General features: G+C 34.4%; 1 protein-coding gene and 1 pseudogene across 6 annotated transcripts in view; one reads left to right on the top strand and one right to left on the bottom strand.

The window, feature by feature from the left end:
* The window catches only part of RSRC1 (arginine and serine rich coiled-coil 1), a 435,642-nt gene that overhangs the window by 261,116 nt on the left and 151,776 nt on the right, over nt 1-22,750 (bottom strand). The gene's annotated exons all lie outside the window — the stretch shown is intronic.
* RPL15P6 (ribosomal protein L15 pseudogene 6) lies at nt 8,158-9,103 on the top strand (annotated as a pseudogene).

The raw sequence follows: 22,750 nt of genomic DNA, 5'->3' as shown, positions 1-22,750 counted from the left end.
CACAATGAGATACCATCTCACACCAGTTAGAATGGCAATCATTAAAAAGTCAGGAAACAACAGGTGCTGGAGAGGATGTGGAGAAATAGGAACACTTTTACACTGTTGGTGGGACTGTAAACTAGTTCAACCATGGTGGAAGTCAGTGTGGCGATTCCTCAGGGATCTAGAACTAGAAATACCATTTGACCCAGCCATCCCATTACTGGGTATATACCCAAAGGACTATAAATCATGCCGCTATAAAGACACATGCACACATATGTTTATTGTGGCACTATTCACAATAGCAAAGACTTGGAACCAGTCCAACTGTCCAACAATGATAGACTGGATTAAGAAAATGTGGCACATATACACCATGGAATACTATGCAGCCATAAAAAATGATGAGTTCATGTCCTTTGTAGGGACATGGATGAAATTGGAAATCATCATTCTCAGTAAACTATCGCAAGAATAAAAAACCAAACACCACATATTCTCACTCATAGGTGGGAATTGAACAATGAGAACACATGAACACAGGAAGGGGAACATCACACTCTGGGGACTGTTGTGGGGTGGGGGGAAGGGGGGAGGGATAGCATTAGGAGATATACCTAATGCTAAATGAGGAGTTAATGGGTGCAGCACACCAGCATGGCACATGTATACATATGTAACTAACCTGCACATTGTGCACATGTACCCTAGAACTTAGAGTATAATAATAATAGTAAAAAAAAAAAAAGAAAACAAATGATAACGTTTCCATTGTTGGCAAAGGTGCTGAGAATCAGGTATCCTCATGCACTGCCAGTGGAAGCAGAAAATAACACAGGTTTTCTGGAGGGCAATTGGGAGAATGTATCAACATTCTCAACAATACACGTAAAGCCTTGCCTCACAGTCTACTTCTCTAAGTTTATCCCAATGACACATTCACAAAATATTAATCACTCCATTGTATTTAATACAAAAAACTGAGAACTAAATGCCCAATAATGGCAAACTGTCAAATAAAATATAATAACCATACAACAGAAAACGATATCACCATTAAAAATTGTGACATAGTTATGTATTTTCACGAAATGGTCTTGTGCTATAGTAAGTTTTTTTTTTAAATCATGTTACAAAATGTAAGAGGGTAAGTTTTATACATCCATGTGTACAGTGTGGTACATGTGCATTTATCTAAAAAGTTATAAACTGAAAAGTAAACAGTATTTGACAGTGGGATTATGAGTACTTTTTTTGTTCATTCTAATTGTTTATATGTTTTCTAAAGTGTCTTCCATGAAAAAAAATTATTAGTCCAATTTAAAAAGTATTTTTAAAAAAATCCTCACAGCAGCTTTATTGAGTAGTATATTATTCTGGGTCTACATTCAGCTCACATTTTTCCTGTTGTCTATAATCATAAATTATTTATGTACATGATTTTACCTCTAGTGTTCACTTTAAAAACCTTGTCTACATTTTTTTTCACCCTTATACCATCTACGTAATTTAATACAAATAGAATCTTCCTAATTTTGGTATGTGATTATCCAAGCTACAGATGAATTCAATTTAGAGATGGAGAATGTGAAATAGAGATAATGAACACAGTTATGTTTGCAATGCACGAGGCAAACAGAAATGGTGAACTCTTCAATAATGTATCCCCACTTTGTCTATGTTAGTTTTGGCTCCTATCACTAACCACCAAAAGTCCTCCAATACCTTCTCCCTAACATCAATGTCTTCATATCCCAAGTTCTTGTCATTGCCTGCTTTATAATCTACCTTACCTGGCTAACAATTTTCTGCCAATATGTAACTCTTCTCAAACCAGTTCATTATCACCTCCATAATTTTGCTCATCCATTCATCTACCTAAAACAAGATTCTCTTCTTCTCAAAATCTGCAAATTCTTATATTTATTGTACAAGAACCAATTAAACTCCCACCATGACTATGTTCATAACAATTTCTTAATCTCTAAACTTACAGTCCTTCCTGACATTTAATGGGTAAGCGCTAAGATCTTTGCAAATGTCCCAAGTTGAAAATGCAATAATGCATGTAAAGTGCTCAGCATACTGCATTTAGCAAATATTACTAATTATTGTCAACATCACCATTACTACACAGACCTTTGATGAGGATTGTTCAATACATTAACATCAGAAAAAACAAAGCCACTGTGAGATACAGTGCTGAGCAGTTAGTAGGCTTTATTCATTGGCTAAGTTACATGACTCCTTCACAGCATCCTCTCAGAACATAGGCTTTAAGTCATGCCACACAAAAGTTACAAATTGTCACATAAAACAGGCCACATCACTTTGAATAGACAGAATATTAAATCTGTGGATACCAAGGTCAAATGCATTGCCCTTATAGAAAACTCCCAATAGTCTGGCACTTGATTGTCAGTAATTATTTTATGTGGCTTCTATGTATATATCCATTTCCCAACTTAATTATTTGCTTAGGTAAACCTGCTTTGTTACCACATGAAGCTCTTTGATAAGCACAGACAGGGCTGGGGGTGGGGAGGTGGATATGGCTGCATCTCCCTCCAGAAAACTGCAAAGCACTGGCTGTGTACCAAGTATGTGTACCAGTATGAGGAGGGCAGCTTTCTTCCATGAGGCCTGCCAGGCAAAACTCTGTAATTGCCAATGGGTATGTCTGATTGGTCACACATAGAATTTTGGCCTGGAACCAGTTTCCTCAGCTACCATGTTACTCATAGGCTTCCTTTCAGTTCGACTTTTTGAAAGAGAGAACTATACACATACCCTATCTCCCCTCTCCTACCTCCCACTACATCCAAAAATTACTCTTGGCTAAAGTCATCAGTGGTTCCCCCATGTTACCAAATCCAAAGTCTACTTTATCATCTTTCTCTTTATACAATTCTTAGAACCATTTGATACTGTCTAACATTCATATTCATGTTGATAAGCCCATGCTGAATTAATGTTCAATACTTCATAGCCTTTCCTCACTTGTCTTCTATAATATTATATCGTTCAGGTTTTCTACATTTTCTCAAAAAAATGGCTCTTCAAGTCTCTTGTAGTTCCATGCTCTTCTCTCTAGCCACCAAAGGTAAGAGCTCCCCAAGGATCAGTCCTGGGCCCTAGTCTTGTGCTATAATTTCTTCTTAATCCATCTCACCCTCACACACAGCATTAATAGCAACCTATACGTACATGTGCAAAAAATGTATATCATTCATAAGCTCCAGATTCATTTACCCTGTTGTCTATTTGACATCTCTATTTGGATATCTAAAAAAAAAAAAAAGCTTATGCTCAATAGATCCAAAACTAAATTCTTGAGTTCCTCCTTCAAAACTGATCCTTTTCAGTATTTCCTATTTCAGAAAAGGATCTTATCATTCATCCTTCTGCTCAAGCCAAAAACCTGGGAATCAACCACTTCACTTTCTTCTTTTTCCCCCTACAAATACAATCTATCAGTTAGTCCTATTGATTCTACCTCTTAAGTAATCACAAAAACTATCTATATTTATATCAACTGCCACCATCCTAATTCAATTGCCATGACCTCCATCCTAGTCTTTCTTAATTCTGTCATAGCTATTTTAACCACTTCTGCCGTTGTTTCACTCTCATCCACCTGTTGCAAAACAGCCAGTCTAATCTTATAAAAATGAATCACTTTGGGCCAGGCGCGGTGGCTCATGCCTGTAATCCCAGCACTTTGGGAGGCTAAGGTGGGTGGATTGCCTGAGCTCAGGAGTTCGCAACCAGACTGGGCAAAAGGGTGAAACCCCGTCTCTACTAAAATACAAAAAATTGGCAGGGCGTGGTGGCATGCACCTGTAGTCCCAGCTACTCAGGAGGCTGAGGCAGGAGAATTGTTTGAATCCAGGAGGCAGAGGTTGCAGTGAGCCGAGATCACGCCACTGCACTCCAGCCTGGGAAAAAGAGCAAGACTCCGTCTCAAAAAAAAAAAAAAAAAAAAAAAAAAAGGAATCACTTCATTCTTGAGCTCAAAACCCTTCAATTCCTTTTCACCATAGCCATCATGATTTGCCCCCCACCACACACACACATAAACATTATTTATTCATTCAACAACTATTACTGAGTACTATCTCTGGGCCAGATTCTGTGATAGGAATTATGGATACAATTATGAACAACATATACCAGGTCATGTGGAGCTTAAAGACAGGTATAAAAACCAACGCACAAATATATAATTAGTACCTAATCATTAGTTACTAATAGTTTAATTAATTAGTAAATATGTGATATGAAAAATATTTCAGAAGTTAATACAGGGACCTATAAGACAGAATCAAAGGAAAACAAGAATTGCTCAAGGAATTCTTCTCTCATTTTATTCCACTGTCATGCTCGCTCGCTACAGCCTTCTTCTTGGGTGTATTTGTTATACTTCTTAAGCTACCCAGAATCTGAATACCATTCCAAATTCGGTGAGCTTTGAATCCAAAGTATTCCAAATATAGGATGACATGAATTATACTAGGAAATTTGAATAAAGAGTTAATGAAAGACAAGAATAAAAAGATTATTCTCTGTGATAGTGGCAACAGAGCTTAAGTCCAGTGGCAGCAATGTCAGAGGCGCTGGTGGTCAGTGCCTGCATACTACCTCTACTGATACCATGGTATACACAGGCAGTAACACCAGCTGACCAGTCTTCTTTTCCTGTCAGTTTTCACAACCTGGTTTCCCAGAGTCCCACTGATTACATAAGCTACCCAATAGTTCCACATAATCTACATTTATTTATTTACTTGCAATCCTTCCTAATAGAATCTAAGCTCAATAAGCACAACTTACATCTAGGAAAGAGGAAGTGGCATGGGGGAAGTCCTAGAGGCTTGAAATACCACTGCATATAAGAAAGACTTTTGTTTTATTCTAGTTCACATAAAGTGACAGTACAAATGAAGATTCTTCTAGGAATTACTTTCTCACAATAAATGGTTTTATATCTGCTTGCATAAAATAAAAAATAACCTATATTCAATTTATGGTAGTTTTCACCTAATTTTTATTAGTAATATTTAAAGGCCAATGGAGAATTTAAAAGTGCGCTAGCTTATTCTATTGAGCCGAAAGTACAAATCAGGGATCAGTAAACTACGGCCCATAGGCCAAATCCAGCCTATTTCCTGTTTTTGTACAGAACATGAGTTAAAACAGTTTTTACATTCTTAAATGTCTGGGAAAAAATCAAAAGAATAACATTTCCTGACACATGAAAATTACTGAAATTGATATTTTAGTGTCACTATATAAAGGTTTGTTGGGAAACAGCCACACTCATTCTTTTGTGTATTTCTATGGCTGCTTTAATGCGATTAACAATAGCTGAGGCGTTGCAACAGAAATCACGGATGGCACTCTCATTAGGTTGCATTGCTGCTCAAGGCACACAAAAAATCACAGTAACATAGCATAACTAAACGCAGTTTCAAGGGCCTTATGAATTGCTGTAATGTGACATTTAATTTTTAATACCAGTGTATAAGAATCATATCAAAATGAGAAAAGAATAGAAAAGGAGCCTTCAACTGTCATTTTTAAGGCGCAGTGAAGTGTGGACTATTTTATCAAATTAAATGGCAATTCATTGTGCTTATTATACAATGGCATTACAGCTGTGCTGGAAAAATAGCATATATGTTGATTTTTAAAAATAATATATACTTGACTGAACACTCTTTATAGTATTTCCAACTCACAGGAAAGCAATAGTCCAAAAAAATAGAACATTTAAAATGGAGTATCTCATCACAGCAGAATTTCTTCACAAAAATAAAAAAATAAAAATGAGTTTCTGAGTGTTGTATTTGTCAACCAATCAATGAAAGCCATTTACCAAAGATGACTTAATTAGTGTTTGAATGCAGTCAAAGAAATGTGTCCAGAGAAAATAAACTTGCTTAAAAACTATTAGACTTTTAGCAAGAACAGTTGTTCAAACTGTTGAAGACACAGGGAATATCATCAACATGTCCAGTGAAGAGATAAGGCAAATGAGTCCAAGCGGTTTTGCTTGGTTTTTCATGAGTCCACAGATGTCAGAGATACTGCTCAGTTGTTTATTTGAGGAGTCAGTGCTGAGTGTGGAATGACTTAAGAATTAGCCTCCATGAAAATTATGCATAGAACATGAGAATATTTTCAACAAAATTGAGAAAACACTCATTCAGTACAACCTGATGTGGAATCTGCTAAGATGTGTTATATATCATGGTAGTTAACAACAGAGAGCGGAAAGAGGCTTAGTTGGACAAATCTACAAAGCTTGTGAAAATGTAAGTCTACGAAAATTTAAAGCCTACAGTTATTCCCTGCATTATTCATCAGCAAAAACTTTGTAAAAACATCTGAATGTAAAATGTGGTATTTAATCAGAAGTGTCAACAGTGAACCTCACTTGCTCTTGTGGACTTGTCCGTTGTTGGTTGTATGATTTTTTTGACAGATACAGATGCTGAATATCCTGATTATTCCAACACATGGCAGCAGTTTGATGGCTTAACAGTGGTAAAGTCTAGTTGTGATGTTTCACATTAGGGATCAATACTGAAATTTTTCTGACTGAGAAGAACCCCCTCAACCACTTTTATCCTAAACCACTTTTAGCTTCAGCAGTAGACATAAAAATGCTCCTTAGGTGGGCACAGGGGCTCATGCCTATAATCCCAACTACTAGGTGGGGGCTGAGTGAGAGGATTGCTTCAGTCCAAGAGTTCCAAAGGCTGCAGTGAGCCATGATCCTGCCACAGTATATAAGCCTGGCCACAGAGTGAGATGCTGTCTCTAAAACAAAAAATAAATAAATAAAAATAAATTTTAATGAGCTCAACCTAAAATTACAAGGCAAAATGGTGCTTATATGCAAAATTCATCCAACAGTAAAGCCATTTCAGTAACAACTGATGTTGCTTGAATCACAAAGTAATGTCAAACTGCTTTATATACTTCCCATGCTGTCAAAGTTAAAGAAGATATTCATTCCAACACACATTTCAAGGAGTATGTTTTTTGACCTCAAATTACACTTCCAGCAGTATTTTTCTGCCTTTAATGCAAGTGTAAAGAAAATTTCCATATTCACAAGTCCACTTAACTGCACAATTGAGGAGCTTCTACTTCAATTGGAAGTGATTAATCTGCAGTATAATAACTAAAAGACAAAAATCAAGAAAAGAATCTAACAGAATTTTATAAATGCCTTTCAAGCAATGAATATGATCATAGATTGCAATCAAATTTGGCAATACCTATCTGTGTGAAGACATTTTCAAAGGTGAAATGTTTAAAATCTCATTACAGATCAGCATTAAAAGATAAATGTTTGTAATCAATTCTGATAACAATGAACATTAATTTAGAACCCTAATCAAGTAAAGTGCTAGCTCCCCAAAAGGAATTCCATTTTTTAAATTCATGCATTTTAATTACACAAAGTTGTGCTCAATAATTATTATTATACTTTGAATTTTGTCCAAAAACTGTGGACATATATTTTCTCTCTTGTTATAGATTTATGTTTACAGGATACCTTCAATTTTGCCTCTTAGCCCACAAAACCTAAATATATATATACTGTTTAGCCCTTTGCTGAAAAAGTTTACTGATCTCTGGTCTAAATCATTTAAATTCTAATTGTGTTCAAACTATATATCCATATGAGGTTATTTTGACTTTAGGAAATGGGGGGATAGGAAGCCAGAGGCAAAAAGAGATGTGTTGTATTCTTCTCATTTTGATATTTGCATGACAATCACTAAGATAAATATTGATAGCATTTCAAAATCCAAATGACAGATATAAGTTAAGAAATAACATGCAACAAAATACAAGGAGAGCTAAATCTAAAAGTTGAGAACATCATCAACTTCTTCCATCTGCTTTTAGTCTGCTATCAAAAAAGGTAATATTGTATTAATTTTAGGTAATAAAAATACTGGTCGAAAAACTAAAGAAAATGATTATTTAAAAAAATAAATAAAGTATAGGACCAATAAGACAAATACTGAAGGAGACAAATTTTGTCTTCCACAACATCAATTCAACTCTTTACAAACTGAGAGTTTGAGAAAAGAGGGGTAACATGAAAAAAAGACAAATGTTAATTATTCTATCTAAAGGCTAACCTTGGCGCCTTTCTGTCTGGCGGCAGCCATCAAGTAAGCCAAGATGGGTGCATACAAGCACATCCAGGAGCTATGGAGAAAGCAGCCTGATGTCATCATGCGCTTTCTTCTGAGGGTCTGCTGCTGGCAGTACCGCCAGCTCTCTGCTCTCCACAGGGCTCCCCACCCCATCTGGCCTGATAAATTGTGCAGACTGGGCTGCAAGGCCAAGAAAGGTTACATTATATATAGGATTCGTATTCGCCATGGTGGCCGAAAATGCCCAGTTCCTAAGGGTGCAACATATGGCAAGCCTGTCCATCATGGTGTTAACCAGCTAAAGTTTGCTCACAGCTTCAGTCCGTTGCAGAGGAGTGAGCTGGACGCCACTGTGGGGCTCTAAGAGTCCTGAATTCTTACTGGGTTGGTGAAGATCCCACATAGAAATTTTTTGAGGCTATCCTCATTAATCCATTCCATAATACTATCAGAAGAAATCCTGACACCCATGGATCACCGAACCAGTCCACAAGCACAGGGAAATGTGTGGGCTCACATCTGCAGGCCAAAAGAGCCGTGGCCTTTGAAAGGGCCATAAGTTCCACCACACAATTAGTGGTTCTAGCCAGGCAGCTTGGAGAAGGCGCAATACTCTCCAGCTCCACTGTTATCACTAATATAGGTAAAGTTTGTAAAATTCATACCTAATAAACTATTTAGGGCAGTCATGTCTGCTTACAGGTGTTATTTGTCTGTTAAAACTAGTCTGCAGATTATTTCATGAATATCAAATTAAGAAAGTTAAAGTGCAATAATGTTTGAAGACAATAAGTGATGGTGTGTCTTGTTTCTAATAGGATAAACTTTTTTGTCTTTGCTTTATCTTATTAGGGAATTATATGTCAGTATATAAGACATACTGTGTAGTATAATAGGTTTAAAATAAATTCTTTAAAAGAGGAGTACTGAAACTAGCTCTGTAGATTTGTCTGGTGCATGTGATGAAACCTGCAGCTTTACTGGGATGATGGCAATGCTCTGCTGGTTTACTTTCAAGTAGCTGGGTTTTTCATTTTGGCAGGTACAGACTTTTTAAATTGGGCTTCGCTTTAAAAATTGTAGGGTGGGAGGAGGACATCTTAACTATGTCATGATTATATTTAGAAAATTATGGGGACAAATCTGGGTTAGCCTGAGGAAAACTGCCTCTGTCTCCACAGTACCATTTTAAGTTCACATAAAAGGTGAAAGCTCCTGGTTCAGTGCCATGGCTTCATGGCATTCAATGGTTAATGGTAGTGGTATTAACACTGGTATGTTTTGAAATTGAATGTTAGATAAAATTATTAGCCTTAAGGTTGGTAAGCTAGCAATCAATATGCTAGGGTGGGAAGCTGGTGAGCCAGTGGCCATTAGATAAATACCTTTCAAGTGTGAGCTTAGAAGTCAATCTTAAAATATGTAACAATAACACTAATTTGTGATCATTATGAAACCCTTCAGTCACATTGCTGGGGGGTGGGGAGTAGTTGACTGTAAGTACATCATTCTTAGTCTATTCAGTTTTAAAAACATCTTGGGTTACCCACTGTGTGTATTCCCATAGGCTACAGAAAAAGTCATACAAGTGCATGGTTTCCAACCATATGTGTTTTCTGCAGTTATTTCTCTTGTTCCTGGCCAAACTACCCTAAAAATCCTTACCATTCCACAAAGTTGGGCCATCACTTGTGTGTCCACTTTCAGTGAAAGTATACCACCACATTGCATTTCTGTTTCCATCACGGCTTCCAGGAGACTAGGCTACTGTTTTCCAGGTTGAGTTTGAGTGTAAAGGAAATGTAGACAAGGAATTGTCCAATTCTCAATTCTGACTTTGCTGACTTAATTTAAATGCTTGCTTCTCTGAACCGATTTTCTCCTATCTTCTCTAGGGGTTTCAAAAGGCTTAGTTAATTGATTTCCAGAAAGTACTCATAGCAAGTTCATAAAAGTTCTTGAGACCTAAATTTCTTCTTAAAAAAAAGAAAAGATCCTAAGTCATACATTTTGATTGTGTAGAGGTTGTTCAACTAAAGGAATAAATGTCTATTAAACTAAAAAGAAAAAAAAAAAGACTAACCTTGGCAAAATCAGAAAGAAACATTCCAGTACACTGGAGAAAAATGGCTTTTTCTTCATTAATTAAAGATAATTTAACATAATGTTGAATAATCAGTTTTACAGGCATTGAATTTTTATAGAACAGGTTATATGAAATCCCAAACATGTTCTCAGCACTTCAGCATACCCCTAAAATTCATATTTCTAAACATTAAAAACACTGTTTAAATCTCATTCATTATATGGATACTCTTTATCTATTAAAGAATACATAAACAGAATTCTTAAAATACATAAACAATGCCAAATGGCTTCGGTTTCCAAATGGGCAACACTGAGGAAGCACTCTGAATGTTTCAGTTTTAAGTTATTTTATAGGGTCATTACCATGTTTATGATAAAATTTTTAACACTTAAATCTGTGTAGTGTTACACTGTAAAAACAACTATACATTTCACAAAGATACAGTTAGCAAACATGACTCAAGCAACTACGATGAGAAAGAGAGCCTGAGAGAGTAAGAGTGAGAGAAAGACAGAGGGAGAGAGAATGAATGGAATCCAAAGATTGAATATTAAGAAATGTCCCTGCTTACTTCTCAACTGGTTCTACATATTTTCCCTCCAAGATTATTATCATGTTTTAACTCAAAGAAAGTAGACTTAGGGTAATACTTATTCAGTATGGGGATGCTTACCAATCCAATTAATCAGACCTTATAAACACACTGACATTTTCATAAAGGTTCTCAATATATCATATCAATATAATACATGTTCTGAATGGCTAGACTTCGTATTACAGGAAATAGGCCTCAGTGCTAACATTCATACTGAAAAGCCATTGCGATAGAATGGGGGATAATTTATCCGTGAGTTCCATATTTTATTAAGATTTATACAACAGAAGAAAATATGACTGTTTACAAGAAAAAAGAAAATAGACTTACAGGACCTTACATTTTGAATCCATAAATAACAAATAAAAGATATTTAGCTTATTTCCACAAGAAGATGAATCTGTGTGTGTATATGTATGTGTAAAGACCTTTATGAATGGAAAATGTGTATGACTTAGACTAGGGCCAGGTATGTTTACTACCTTGAACATTTAATACTAAATGGAATATGCAAGTTTTAACTATATTAACCCTCCAATAATAAAAACTATCTGAACTAATAAAACGAAGTTCCAGGTTTATAAGTTATACATTAACAATGCATTGAAATTGCTATACGTCATTGAGATGATTCCTGAATATAAATAGAAGCATAATGACAGAGGGGATTAAAACCTGCAAATTAATTTCCACTAATATCAGAAGATAAAAACACAAAAACAGGTTCTTTTTTTTAACCTCTCAAAAGCTAGTACTCATAGTTATATAAGACAATGCTTTTATTCTTATATATACCATTTTTTAGTAAAGGGGAACAATGTTTCCAATATATTCTCCTTTAGTTCAGAAAAAACACATTTATAACAGTTGGATGAGGAGAGGGAGGAAAGGATAATAAAATAAATGGGTAGAAAATGTAAATAACTGATAAATCTATGTAAAGGGTATATGGGAGTTTCTTGTACTGTTCTTCAAACATCTCCAGAGTTTGAATTTACATCAATAGTTATCAAGGGAAATAAAAGCTATTAAATTTAGCCAAAAGTTTCAGTTTTTACTAACTATAATATTCTGTTTTGCAACTATTTTCTATTTCTTGAAAGCCCATATAATCTTCCTTTTCCCCCAGTTACTACTGTACTTAAATTAATCAAATTTAATTCTGGAAAAAACAATACTAGTATTAAAAATTTTTTTGAAAAACATAAGATTAAAAACTTCTACACAAAGAATAAACTCCAAAAGAAAAGATGCAAATAAAATGACTATAATAATCTTTTGTTTTTTATTTGCAAGTATAAATCGGAAGAAAAACAAAAGCCTGGAACATAGCATCTGTCATATCAGAATATAAAAAGATGATCCTGGCACAAAATGAAAAAGCTCTAATTCATTTGCAAATCAAGCCTGCCGGTTCCATTTCAAGCTGGCGGTAACTGTCAAGAGTTAACAAGATAATCACTTTCAATCCTGCCTTCAATGGTACATTACACTGTTATTCCATTCAATAAGGCCGTTCTTTGGGGCACTAGATGAATGGTTTTCATTTCTAACTCACACAAAAAGTTGTGCAGGGAAAAAATCCACGGGGCTTAAGAAAGAAATCCCTTTATGGGCATTTATCTGCCGGTACTTGCTTTTAGGCAAAATGAGATATTTTGAAACATCAGTGTCCATTCACTTCCTCTATTCCTTTAGGCCCTTAATCCTTTGGAAAAAAAAACAACAAATTGGCATATGAGAAAAGTGCAAAAGCAGTTTCATGTTTTAAATTATCAATGCACATTAAACAAAAATTATTAAAATGATTATATGCAAATACAATGCTATTATACTCAAAAGACTAATATTAACCAATCTCCTCCTTATCTCATGGTAACTCATGTCACTTTCTTAGATTACTCACCTATATTCTGGGTGAAATGCAGGTGCTTAAAATTTCATATTTAATTCTTGTTGTGTTCATAATGACTTGTACACCTAAAAAGGTTAAAATACCTTTCCAAATTATTCCTAGTTCAATGAAAATGAATTTTAGCTAGATGTTATCTTTATAATGCATTTATCAAAAAGCATTATAAAAGTTTTTACTATTTCATGATGTAACTTAATTTTACAAACAAATGTAGGTAAGATAGCTATATAATTATTTTTGCAAAAATATTGAAACTATATATTTAAAAAAGCAAATATATTTTTGCTTCATACAAAAAAATATATGGTGCAAAGACTTACATGCATCTACTAGTAATAGACAATTAGGCCATCTTTAAACTATAGTCTATGAGAGTAAAAGAATATTAAAATCTCTACTCTGACTGCTCATGCAGGCCTGTATCCATCAAATCCATCCAACATCAGTGTAAATTTATAAGAACCATCTGTGTATGAATCACAACTTATTATTCAAGTCTATTTAACAATAACAACAATTAATCTTTCCCCACCTACTCCCTCAATTCAGGAAACAATATTGCTATATATTGCCTATGTAAATCATAATCTCCAGCCAAGACTTTTAATCCTTTTATAATCCCTTATTAGAGGAAAATGTGGATTTGTAAAACTCATAGTACAAATGTCTATGAAGGACTTAAAGTCCTTCTAAAATCATTACTTCAAAAAAATTAGTGTATTTTGTATCCAAAAGCTTTAAGAAGTTAGAACATTCATGTTTATGACTACAAAGGCTACATACTTAAATTTTAAAATTCAGATGATTTCATGAATTCAATATGACACGGGGATAATCCTTTTATAAAAGGGAGAAGTCTTTCTGGAGCAGCCTAAGTTCACCCAATTCTTTCAAGTTCCAGTATGACTAATCATTTATCCTCTAAAAGGTAAAAATTATCCCTATTCTTAAAATAAATTGTAAAAAGATGGAGGAAAAAATGTATAGGAAAATAGTTCAGAAAGTTTTACATTATCAGATAGACTTGATCACTAATATTTAAATTTTAGATTAGTAGTCTAAACTTTGTCATTGCAAATAAATTATAATGAATCTGTATATTTTAAAGTCCTTATAAAATTTAAGCTATAGCAGAAAACCAGGAAACTTAAAACATAAATGCCATGCTTAAATCTATTAAATTTCTAAAAAGCTTGCATGATATTATAAAATGACAATAATGTTAAGGAAACCTTATTATTCCAAATTTTAAACCCTTAGTACCAAACATGTTAACACAGCAAGTAAACAGTGAGCATATTATGGTATGCTCAATAAATTACAATTGAAATACATGACTACAATATGTAAAACCAATCTGTGACATTACAAATTCCTAAAGAACCCTACAAACACAAAGCTACTGGCACAGCGCAATTCCATTAGAGCTTAGTATTGTGAATCAGTCCCCATACAGGGTGAGGACACTAAAGTCACCCTATCATTGGGGTACCCTATCCTTTTGTCGGGTTCCAAGATCATGGTTAACTCGGGAGGTAGAAATGTTTGATCTTTCAACTTCAAGCTGCCCTGCTGCAGCCTCCTTCCCTTATTAGATCCCTGGGGTTAGCTTTAAGCAAACACAGCAGCAAAGGCAGCAGGGAGTATGATGGATCTCCTACACGTCAACCATTGGAACAGCAATGAAGAGTGTTTGAGGAATAGCACAAGCCTTGGACAAAAGCTTTACCGAGAGTCACAAGCGGGTTCCAACAAGCAACCTGGTGTCTTGAATCATGTATGCAGTTGCTCCTATCCATTACTCACACTGATACCAGGAAACAAAATCTTCTGTCTACAGAAATACAGCTTCTAACTTACAGGGATATCTACTAACATAGTAAATATTTGCTTTCAATTTCTTCAGTTAAAAGAAGTTCTTCATAAATTACATTAGAAGCCAAGAAATGTTTTCTTGTTGTTCTTGTTCTGATATCTTCAAGATATCAAAAGAAAAAAAATAAGGGAATAACTCCTTAAGAACAGGTAAAATAAGAAATCTGTTTTCTGGGCCAGGCACCTATAATCCCAGCACTTTGGGAGGCCAAGGCAGGCAGATCACGAGGTCAAGAGATCAAGACCATCCTGGCCAACATGGTGAAACCCTGTCTCTACTAAAAATACAAAAATTAGCTGGGCATGGTGGCACATGCCTGTAGTCCCAGCTACTCGGGAGGCTGAGGCAGGAGAGTCACTTCAACCCGGGAGGCAGAGGTTGCAGTAAGCCGAGATTGTGCCACTGCACTTCAGCCTGGTGATAGAGCAAGACTCTGACTCCAAAAAAAAAAAATCTGTTTTCTGAAAATACTAAAAGCATGGTAGTGGGGAAAATAAACTTCATCGTCAAATGAGTAAGGTAGAAGGGAGATAAACTTAATTAGCATGTAGGAATGAAATATTTAAAATGCCTTCAAAATTTGAGAATATGATAAAACTTCAAGAAGATTCTCATATATCATACACCATAAACTAACATTAGGCTTACCACAAAAATTTAAATGAAGTAAACGAATGAAATAATTTTGTAAATATCATTTAGGCACATACTTGGATATTTTAAACATATCTGAAACGAATGCCCATATTCATGAAGAGGTCCTAAAAACCAAAGTAGTATTTAAAAAGGTGAACAACAGAATAATTAAAACTGGAAATTAACTGGCAATTCAGCAAGAAAAAAAATAAATGATCTATTATTCTATAAAAAGATTCTCAACCTTAATGATATTTAAGAAATAAAAATCAAAACAATATCCTTTATTTGCTGCCTACTTAAGTAGCAAAACTTTAAGGTTATAACCTTTTTCAATCTGGTTATGGGGAGATGACAGTCTCATATAATTATGTATTTTCAATGAAAGGTAAATACCTCAAATAATATATTTTCAATGTTTAAGATAACAGAGAAAGTCTACTATGATTAACAAAAGTGTTCAAGAATTCTATGCATTTATAAATGATCTGCAATAGAGATATAAATTTAAACTTTAGTATAAAAATTATCTCAAGTCACAGTATCTTTAAAGGTTTTGTTTTAATGTAACTTAAAATTAAAATTAAGACTAATAGTGAAGGAGTGGCAGAACAAAACTGCTGACAGAAAACAATTATAATAACTAAGTAACATGGTAAAAAATGTATTTATGGACACCAAACAGAATCCAAAAAGCCGCCACAAATAGTCTAATCACAAAAATCTCACTTAGAAGTGAAGAGTTACTGTTATATTTATTGTTTTATTATTTTCTGGTGTTGGGACACTCCTATGGCTATGGCTGCAGAAACACAATAGTAGAAGACCCCAGCCTTTGGGTTCAAGGTTCCAGAATCAGAGTTCAGGGCTAAAAGAACAGAAAAAATGTAAAACGGAAATGCAGGCAGGAAGAGAACCACAGCAACAGTATGATCCAAATCTGAATATAAATTAAGTCAAAACCCTTGACTAACAGCTAAATTACACATACTCAGGGGAAATTTTCAGGGAATCCAGCAAAAAGTAGCCAGAGATTAGAGAGAAATATACCTTTGATGCGTTTTTAAATTAAGTGTATTAACCAAATATGTGCATCTCTGGTGGTAGAAAGGTGAAGAAGAATGAACTTGAAGTATCTGAGGACACATTGTAAAGCTGGCAGAGCAGCTGAAAATGAAGCAATCAACCACAGAAGCAAAACAGACAGAGTGAGCTCTATCTCTACTTAAATTCTTAGCTGACAATAAAATTACATAGAAACAGAAAAGACTATGCCACAGAGCCAGTCTAAAAATGTAACAATGGGAAGTCCTAACAGTACAGAAATATTAGACAGTACCTATAGGAAGGAAGAGGATCTTTATAGTTTCAGGTGAGAAAAGTACAAAAATAAAACAAAACAATAATCCCCAGGAGAATACAGCTGAATCCAGAGTGGCTATAATGTTTTTTAAGCCAAAAAAAAAAAAAAAAAATAGATATGGAAACAAACAGCATAAGAAAAGAGTAAATCAAAACTATTAGTGAACCAGATATTAGTTTTATCACATAAATATTTATTGGCAGCTATTATAAATTGTTTAAATATTGAAGGAAAAATAGTGTCAATGAATGGATGGGAAATCTCATCAGAGATATGGAAACTATATTTTTTCAAAAAGAAAATTCTAAAGGTAAAAGCAAAATTTAAAAAAATTCATGAAATGGGCTCAAGAAAGAAAACAGAAAAATAAAATCAGTGAACTTAAAGAAAGACCACCATAAGTTACTCAATTTGGAGTACAAGAAAAAAAAATTTTTTTAAATGAAGAGGACCTCAAGAGATCTGTAGGACAATAGCAAGTGGTCCAACATATGTGTAAGGTCCACCAAGAGAAAAAGAACAAATGAACAAACAGAATATCTGAAGAAATAATAGCATAAAAGTTCTCAAATTTGGGGGAAAACATTTATTTACACAGACAAAAAGCTCACTGAAAAGTGAGCTTTTCAGTTTGGCTAAACATGAACAAAAATCACTCTCACGCATGATAGTCAAACTTCTGAAAGCCAAAGATAAAAAGAAAACCTGGAAAGAGGCCAGAGAACAAAGATGCAGTATATACTGGAACAATTATAAGATTACAGCTAACTTTTCCTCAGAAACTATGAAAGCCAGAAGGCATTGGAACAACCAATACAAAGTGATGAGGAAAGAAAAAAATTGTCAATCAATAATACATCCATATTTGAATGACAGTAAAATCTATCATTCAAAACTGAAGGTGAAATAGGCCAGGCATGCTGTCTCATGTCTGTAATCCCAGTACTTTGGGAGGCCAAGGCAGATGGATCACTTGAGCTCAGGGGTTTGAGACCAGCCTGCGCAACACAGCGAAACAGTGTCTCTACAAAAAATACAAAAATTAGCTGGGTACAATGGTGTGTTCCTGTAGTCTCAGATACTCAGGACGCTGAGGCAGGAGAATCATTTGAGCCCAGGAGGCGGAGGCTGCAGATCATATGATCTTGGAGGAGCCGAGATCATACCATTGCACTCCAGCCTGGGCAACAGGAGTGAAACCCTGTATCAAAAAGAGGGGGAAAAAAAAGAAGGTGAAATGAAGACACTTTTGCTTAGGATAAATATAATGGGATAAGTTAAAGTAGAATGGAATAAACTAAAGATGCATTTTAACAAGTTAAGTTTAAGGTGTAATTTGTAGAGGAACAACTAAAAATAAAACAAGGTGATACAGCTTTAAAACCAATAAAAAAATTAAAATGTAATGATAAAAAGTATAAACTACACCCAACAACCGCCAAGAAGCTCACTCTTTTCAAGTAAACCAAGTGTAGAACACTAAAATAAATAAATATATTTCAAAAGACTGTCTTACAAAGCATACTTTCTGAATACAACAGAATGAAATTATAATTCATCAACAATAAAACATCTACATAAGCTCAAAATATATAACAATTAAAAGTAGTGCTTACAGAAAATTTATAGCCTTAAATGTCTTTACTAGAAAAAGAGATCTACATTAATAATCAAGTTTCCTCCTTAAGTAGCTACAAAAAGATCAAAGTAAACCTAAAATGAGTAGAGAGTAAGGGAAAAAATTAAAGAGAAAAAATGATGAAAAAGAAAACAAATGGACTACAGAGAAACAATAAGATTCTGTGTTTTTCCAAGAACAAACACTATTAATTTTGATAAACCACCTTTAAAAATCAACTGCTTCATAGCATAATAATCATACTGTACTATACTGTTGGTATGGATGAAATAAGAGATATATAGATAAATAAAACAGAATGCAAAGACCAGAAAAGGACCCATATATATAGGAAATTTATTTTTGCTAAATTATCAAGGCTTCAGTGGGAATTCAATCAACATGGCAAAGTGTTTTAAAGGTGGCACTGAAATAAATGGCATCTGTATATGACAAAAAAAATCATCCCTACCTCACATCATAAGTCAAAATGATCACAGACATAAATATAGAAACTAATCCTATGAAACTACTAGAAGAAAATCTTCGTGACCTTGAGGTAGACAGGTTTTAGCAAACATTAAGAATGAAAAAAGCTGATAAATTGCAATTTATCAAAAGTAATAGCTTTTTAAATTGTTAGCTTACAAGTGGCGGAAAAAAAGTCATAGCTTTTGTTCCTCAAAAAGCATATTTAAGATTGGAGTAAAATTTTTTTTTTTTGAGACTGAGTTTCACTGTTGTCACCCAGGCTAGAGAGCAATGGCATGATCTCAGCTCACTGTAACCTCTGCCTCCCGGTTTCAAGCAATTCTCCTGTCTCAGCTTCCTGAGTAGCTGGGATTACAGGTGTCCGTTACCACGCCCGGCTAATTTTTGTATTTTTAGTAGAGACAGAGGTTCACCATCTTGGCCAGGCTGGTCTCAAACTCCTGACCTCAGGTGATCCACCCACCTCGGCCTCCAAAAGTGCTGGGATTACAGGCATGAGCCACTGTACCCAGCCTGGAGTAAAATTTTAAATGGGCAAAAGATTTGGTTCAAGATAAGTAAACAGAACACATTTATACTTCTGCCTGGAACAACCAAAACCAGCAACAACAAGAAAAAAATTCCAAAATGTATTTTTTAATGTTGTGCAAAACCCTGGAAATTAGGCAACAAAAAATAGTAACTACTGAGAGTTAAGAAACAAAGTATGAAGGCCTGTAATTACAGGTCCCAGTGCAACAGAGGAGAACTCAAGTAGAGCTTGGCAAACTCCTGGATTTGCAGAGTCAGAGCTGGCAGTCCAGGCAGACCAAGGCAGTTAAGAGTTCACAAGACAGAGTGTGTATGGCAGACCAGAGAGCAGCACAGAGACAGATCAGGGCAATCTTCAAATAGTCAGCAAAGTACTAATTAGCACATGCCTGTAAAGGCAAAAGAAAACACAATTTCAAAGAATTGGAGATTACTGCCTGGTGGTCATACAAAGTGAGAAATAGTGCCCATTCCAACAAGCCAGACAGGAAAAACTCATAACTCATAAGGCATAGGTTAAAATACCCAGGACGTTCATTCCTCAGTTGTGGGGAATGGTTAGCACTACACTGAGCACTACTCGACACCCACCAAACAAATCATAAAAGCAAGACTTAAGGGCACAAAACTGTTTCCAAGGAACTTAGCTGCATCTCAGAACAAAGCTTAAGAATGTTCATAGGATTGAAAAACTATCCAGACAAATCCAGTATAATGGTTGGAGATTTCCAATATTCTCTCAATATTTGATAGAACAAGTGGATAATCAGAAAGGACATAGTAGATGTGAACTTCACCATCAACCTGCGTGACCCAATTGACACTTAGAGAACAGTCCACATAAGAACAGCAGAATACAAAACTTATTCAAACCATTCATCAAAATAGAGCTATTCTGAGCCATAAAAGAAGTCTAAATACATTTAAAAGGATTCGAGTTATACAAAGTATGCTTTTTGGCACAATGAAATCAAATTAGAAATAGGTTACAAAAAGATATCTAGAAACTCTTCCAAAATTTGGAAACTATATGCCATGCTTCTAAATAACCCATGGAGAAAGAACAAATCAAAGGAAAATTAGACATTATTTAAATTCAATGAAACAAAAACATAATATCAGAATTTGTGGGATGCTGCTAAAGAAATACATGTATAATACTAAACGCCTACATGAGAAAAGCTGAAAGGCTGGAAATCAAGGTTTCAGCTTATACCTTAAGAAACTAGAAGAAGAGGAGAATTAAACCCAAAGTAAGCAGTAAAAAGAAAAATAAAACAGTTCAAAGTGGAAAGAAATGAAATAGAATGCAGAAACATTACAGAGAAAAATCGATGAAAACAAAAGCTGGTTCTTTAAGCACATCAATAAAACTGACAAATTTCTAGCCAAACTAATGAGAAAAAAGCAGTAACAACAAATTACTAATATAAGAAATAAACGAAGTGACATCGGTGTAGACTCTACAGACGCTAAAAGGATAAAAAGAGAACATCCTAAACAGCTTTATGTTTATAAATTCAACACCTTAGGTAACATGAACCAACTCCTGGAAAGACACAAACTATCAAAACTCACTCAAGAAGAACTTTTGTAAGCAATTTGATAAGAAACTGAGTAGCAACTAATCTACTGAAGAAAGTGGATTTGTAGCTAAAAACCTTTCCACAAAGAAAAATCCAGGCCCAAATGGCTTCATGCCTAAGTTTTACCAAACATTTAATAATCAAATAATACAAATTCTCTACACACTCTTCCAAAAAACTGAAAAGGAAATATTTCCCAACTCATTCTTTGGGCCAGCATTACCCTGTCACCAAACACAGACAAAGGAATTATAAGAAAATAAGACTGCAAAACAACGTTCTAAATAAAAACAGAAGCAAAAATTCTAAACATAATATTAGCAAAGCAAATGCAACAATATATAAAGAGAATAATATATCATGACCAAGTAGAGTTTTATACTAGAAATGTAATGTTGTTTCACATTCAAAACTCAATCAATGTAGTTCCCCATATTAATAATTTAAAAAGAAAAGCAGTATAATCGTTTCAGTAGTCACAGAGAAAGCATTTGACAAAATAAAACAACCATTTCTTAAAAAATTCTCAGCACACTAGGACTAAAAGGGCACTTCCCCAACCTGTCAAAAGGAATCTACTAAAATTATCTTGATAACATCAAAATAATGGAAAAAGACTGAATATTACCTAAGATCATAAGTAAGACATAGATAGGCATGCTTACTGCTTCTATTCAATGCTGTGCTGGAGATCTTAGCCTGAGCAATCAGGCAAGGAAAAAACAAAAGGCATCAAGACTGGAAAGAATTAAAACTGTCTTTATTACAGGCAACATGAGCATATATGTAAAAACCTCAATTTACAAAAAAGCTACTAAAAGTATAAGTGAATTTAATGAGACTGCAGGATACAAGGTGAACACACAAAATTCAACAGCATTTATGTATATCAGCAATAAGTAATCTGAAATTGATATTAAATATATATAAATAATTTCAAAAAGAAATACTTCAGGAAATTTTTTTAATGTCAGAGACCTTCTAAAGTATATGCTACAAAATATTGGTGAAAAAAATTTTAAAGACCTCAATAAATAAAGACATATACCTTGTTACTGCGCTAAAAGAGTCAATATTATTAACATGTCAATTCTCCCCAAACTGATCTACAGACTCAATTCAATCCTAATAAAAATCAAAGCAGGATATTTTATAGAACTGACAAGATGATTATAAAATTTGTGTAGTAATAACAAAGAACTTAAGACAGTCAAAACAACTTTGAAGAGAATTAAGTTGGAGAGCTAAGACCACATGATTCCAAGTACTTCAGTGTAAAACAACAAAATGTCTAGAAATGAACCCACACATTTGTGAACAACTGATTTTTTTTACGAAGATACAAAGGCAATTCAATATACTCTTGTCAACAAATGATGCATAAAATACTAAATTTTAAATATGCAAAAAACAAAAAATGAACATTAACCATATCTTATACCATACTCAAAACTACCTCAAATAAACCATAGACCTAAATGTCAAACTTAAAATGATAAAACTGGTAGAAGTAAACAGAAGAAAATCTTTGGACCTTAAATTAGGCAAAGAAATCTTAGATCAACACGAAACACATGACCTATAAAAGAACAAAGAAATAAACTAGACTTCCTCAAAATAAAAAAACTCAAAAACTACTAATAAATGAAAGAAAAGCTATGGCATATATTTGTTAAAGCAACAGTTCCCAACCTTTTTGGCACCAAGAACCAGGTTTCATGAAAGACGATTTTTCCATGGATGGGGCTGGGTAGGGGTGGTGCAGAGGGCAGGTGTTGCAGAGTGGCAGAAGATACGGTTTCAAGATGATTCAAGTGCATTACAATTACCGTGCACTATATTTCTATTACTATTACATTGTCATATATAATGAAATAATTA

Source organism: Homo sapiens, chromosome 3, assembly GCF_000001405.40.
Source record: "Homo sapiens chromosome 3, GRCh38.p14 Primary Assembly".
In the NCBI taxonomy this organism is placed as follows: Eukaryota; Metazoa; Chordata; class Mammalia; order Primates; family Hominidae; genus Homo; species Homo sapiens.
The sequence above is the reverse complement of the archived record's forward strand: the minus strand, read 5'-3'. Positions and strand labels throughout refer to the sequence as shown.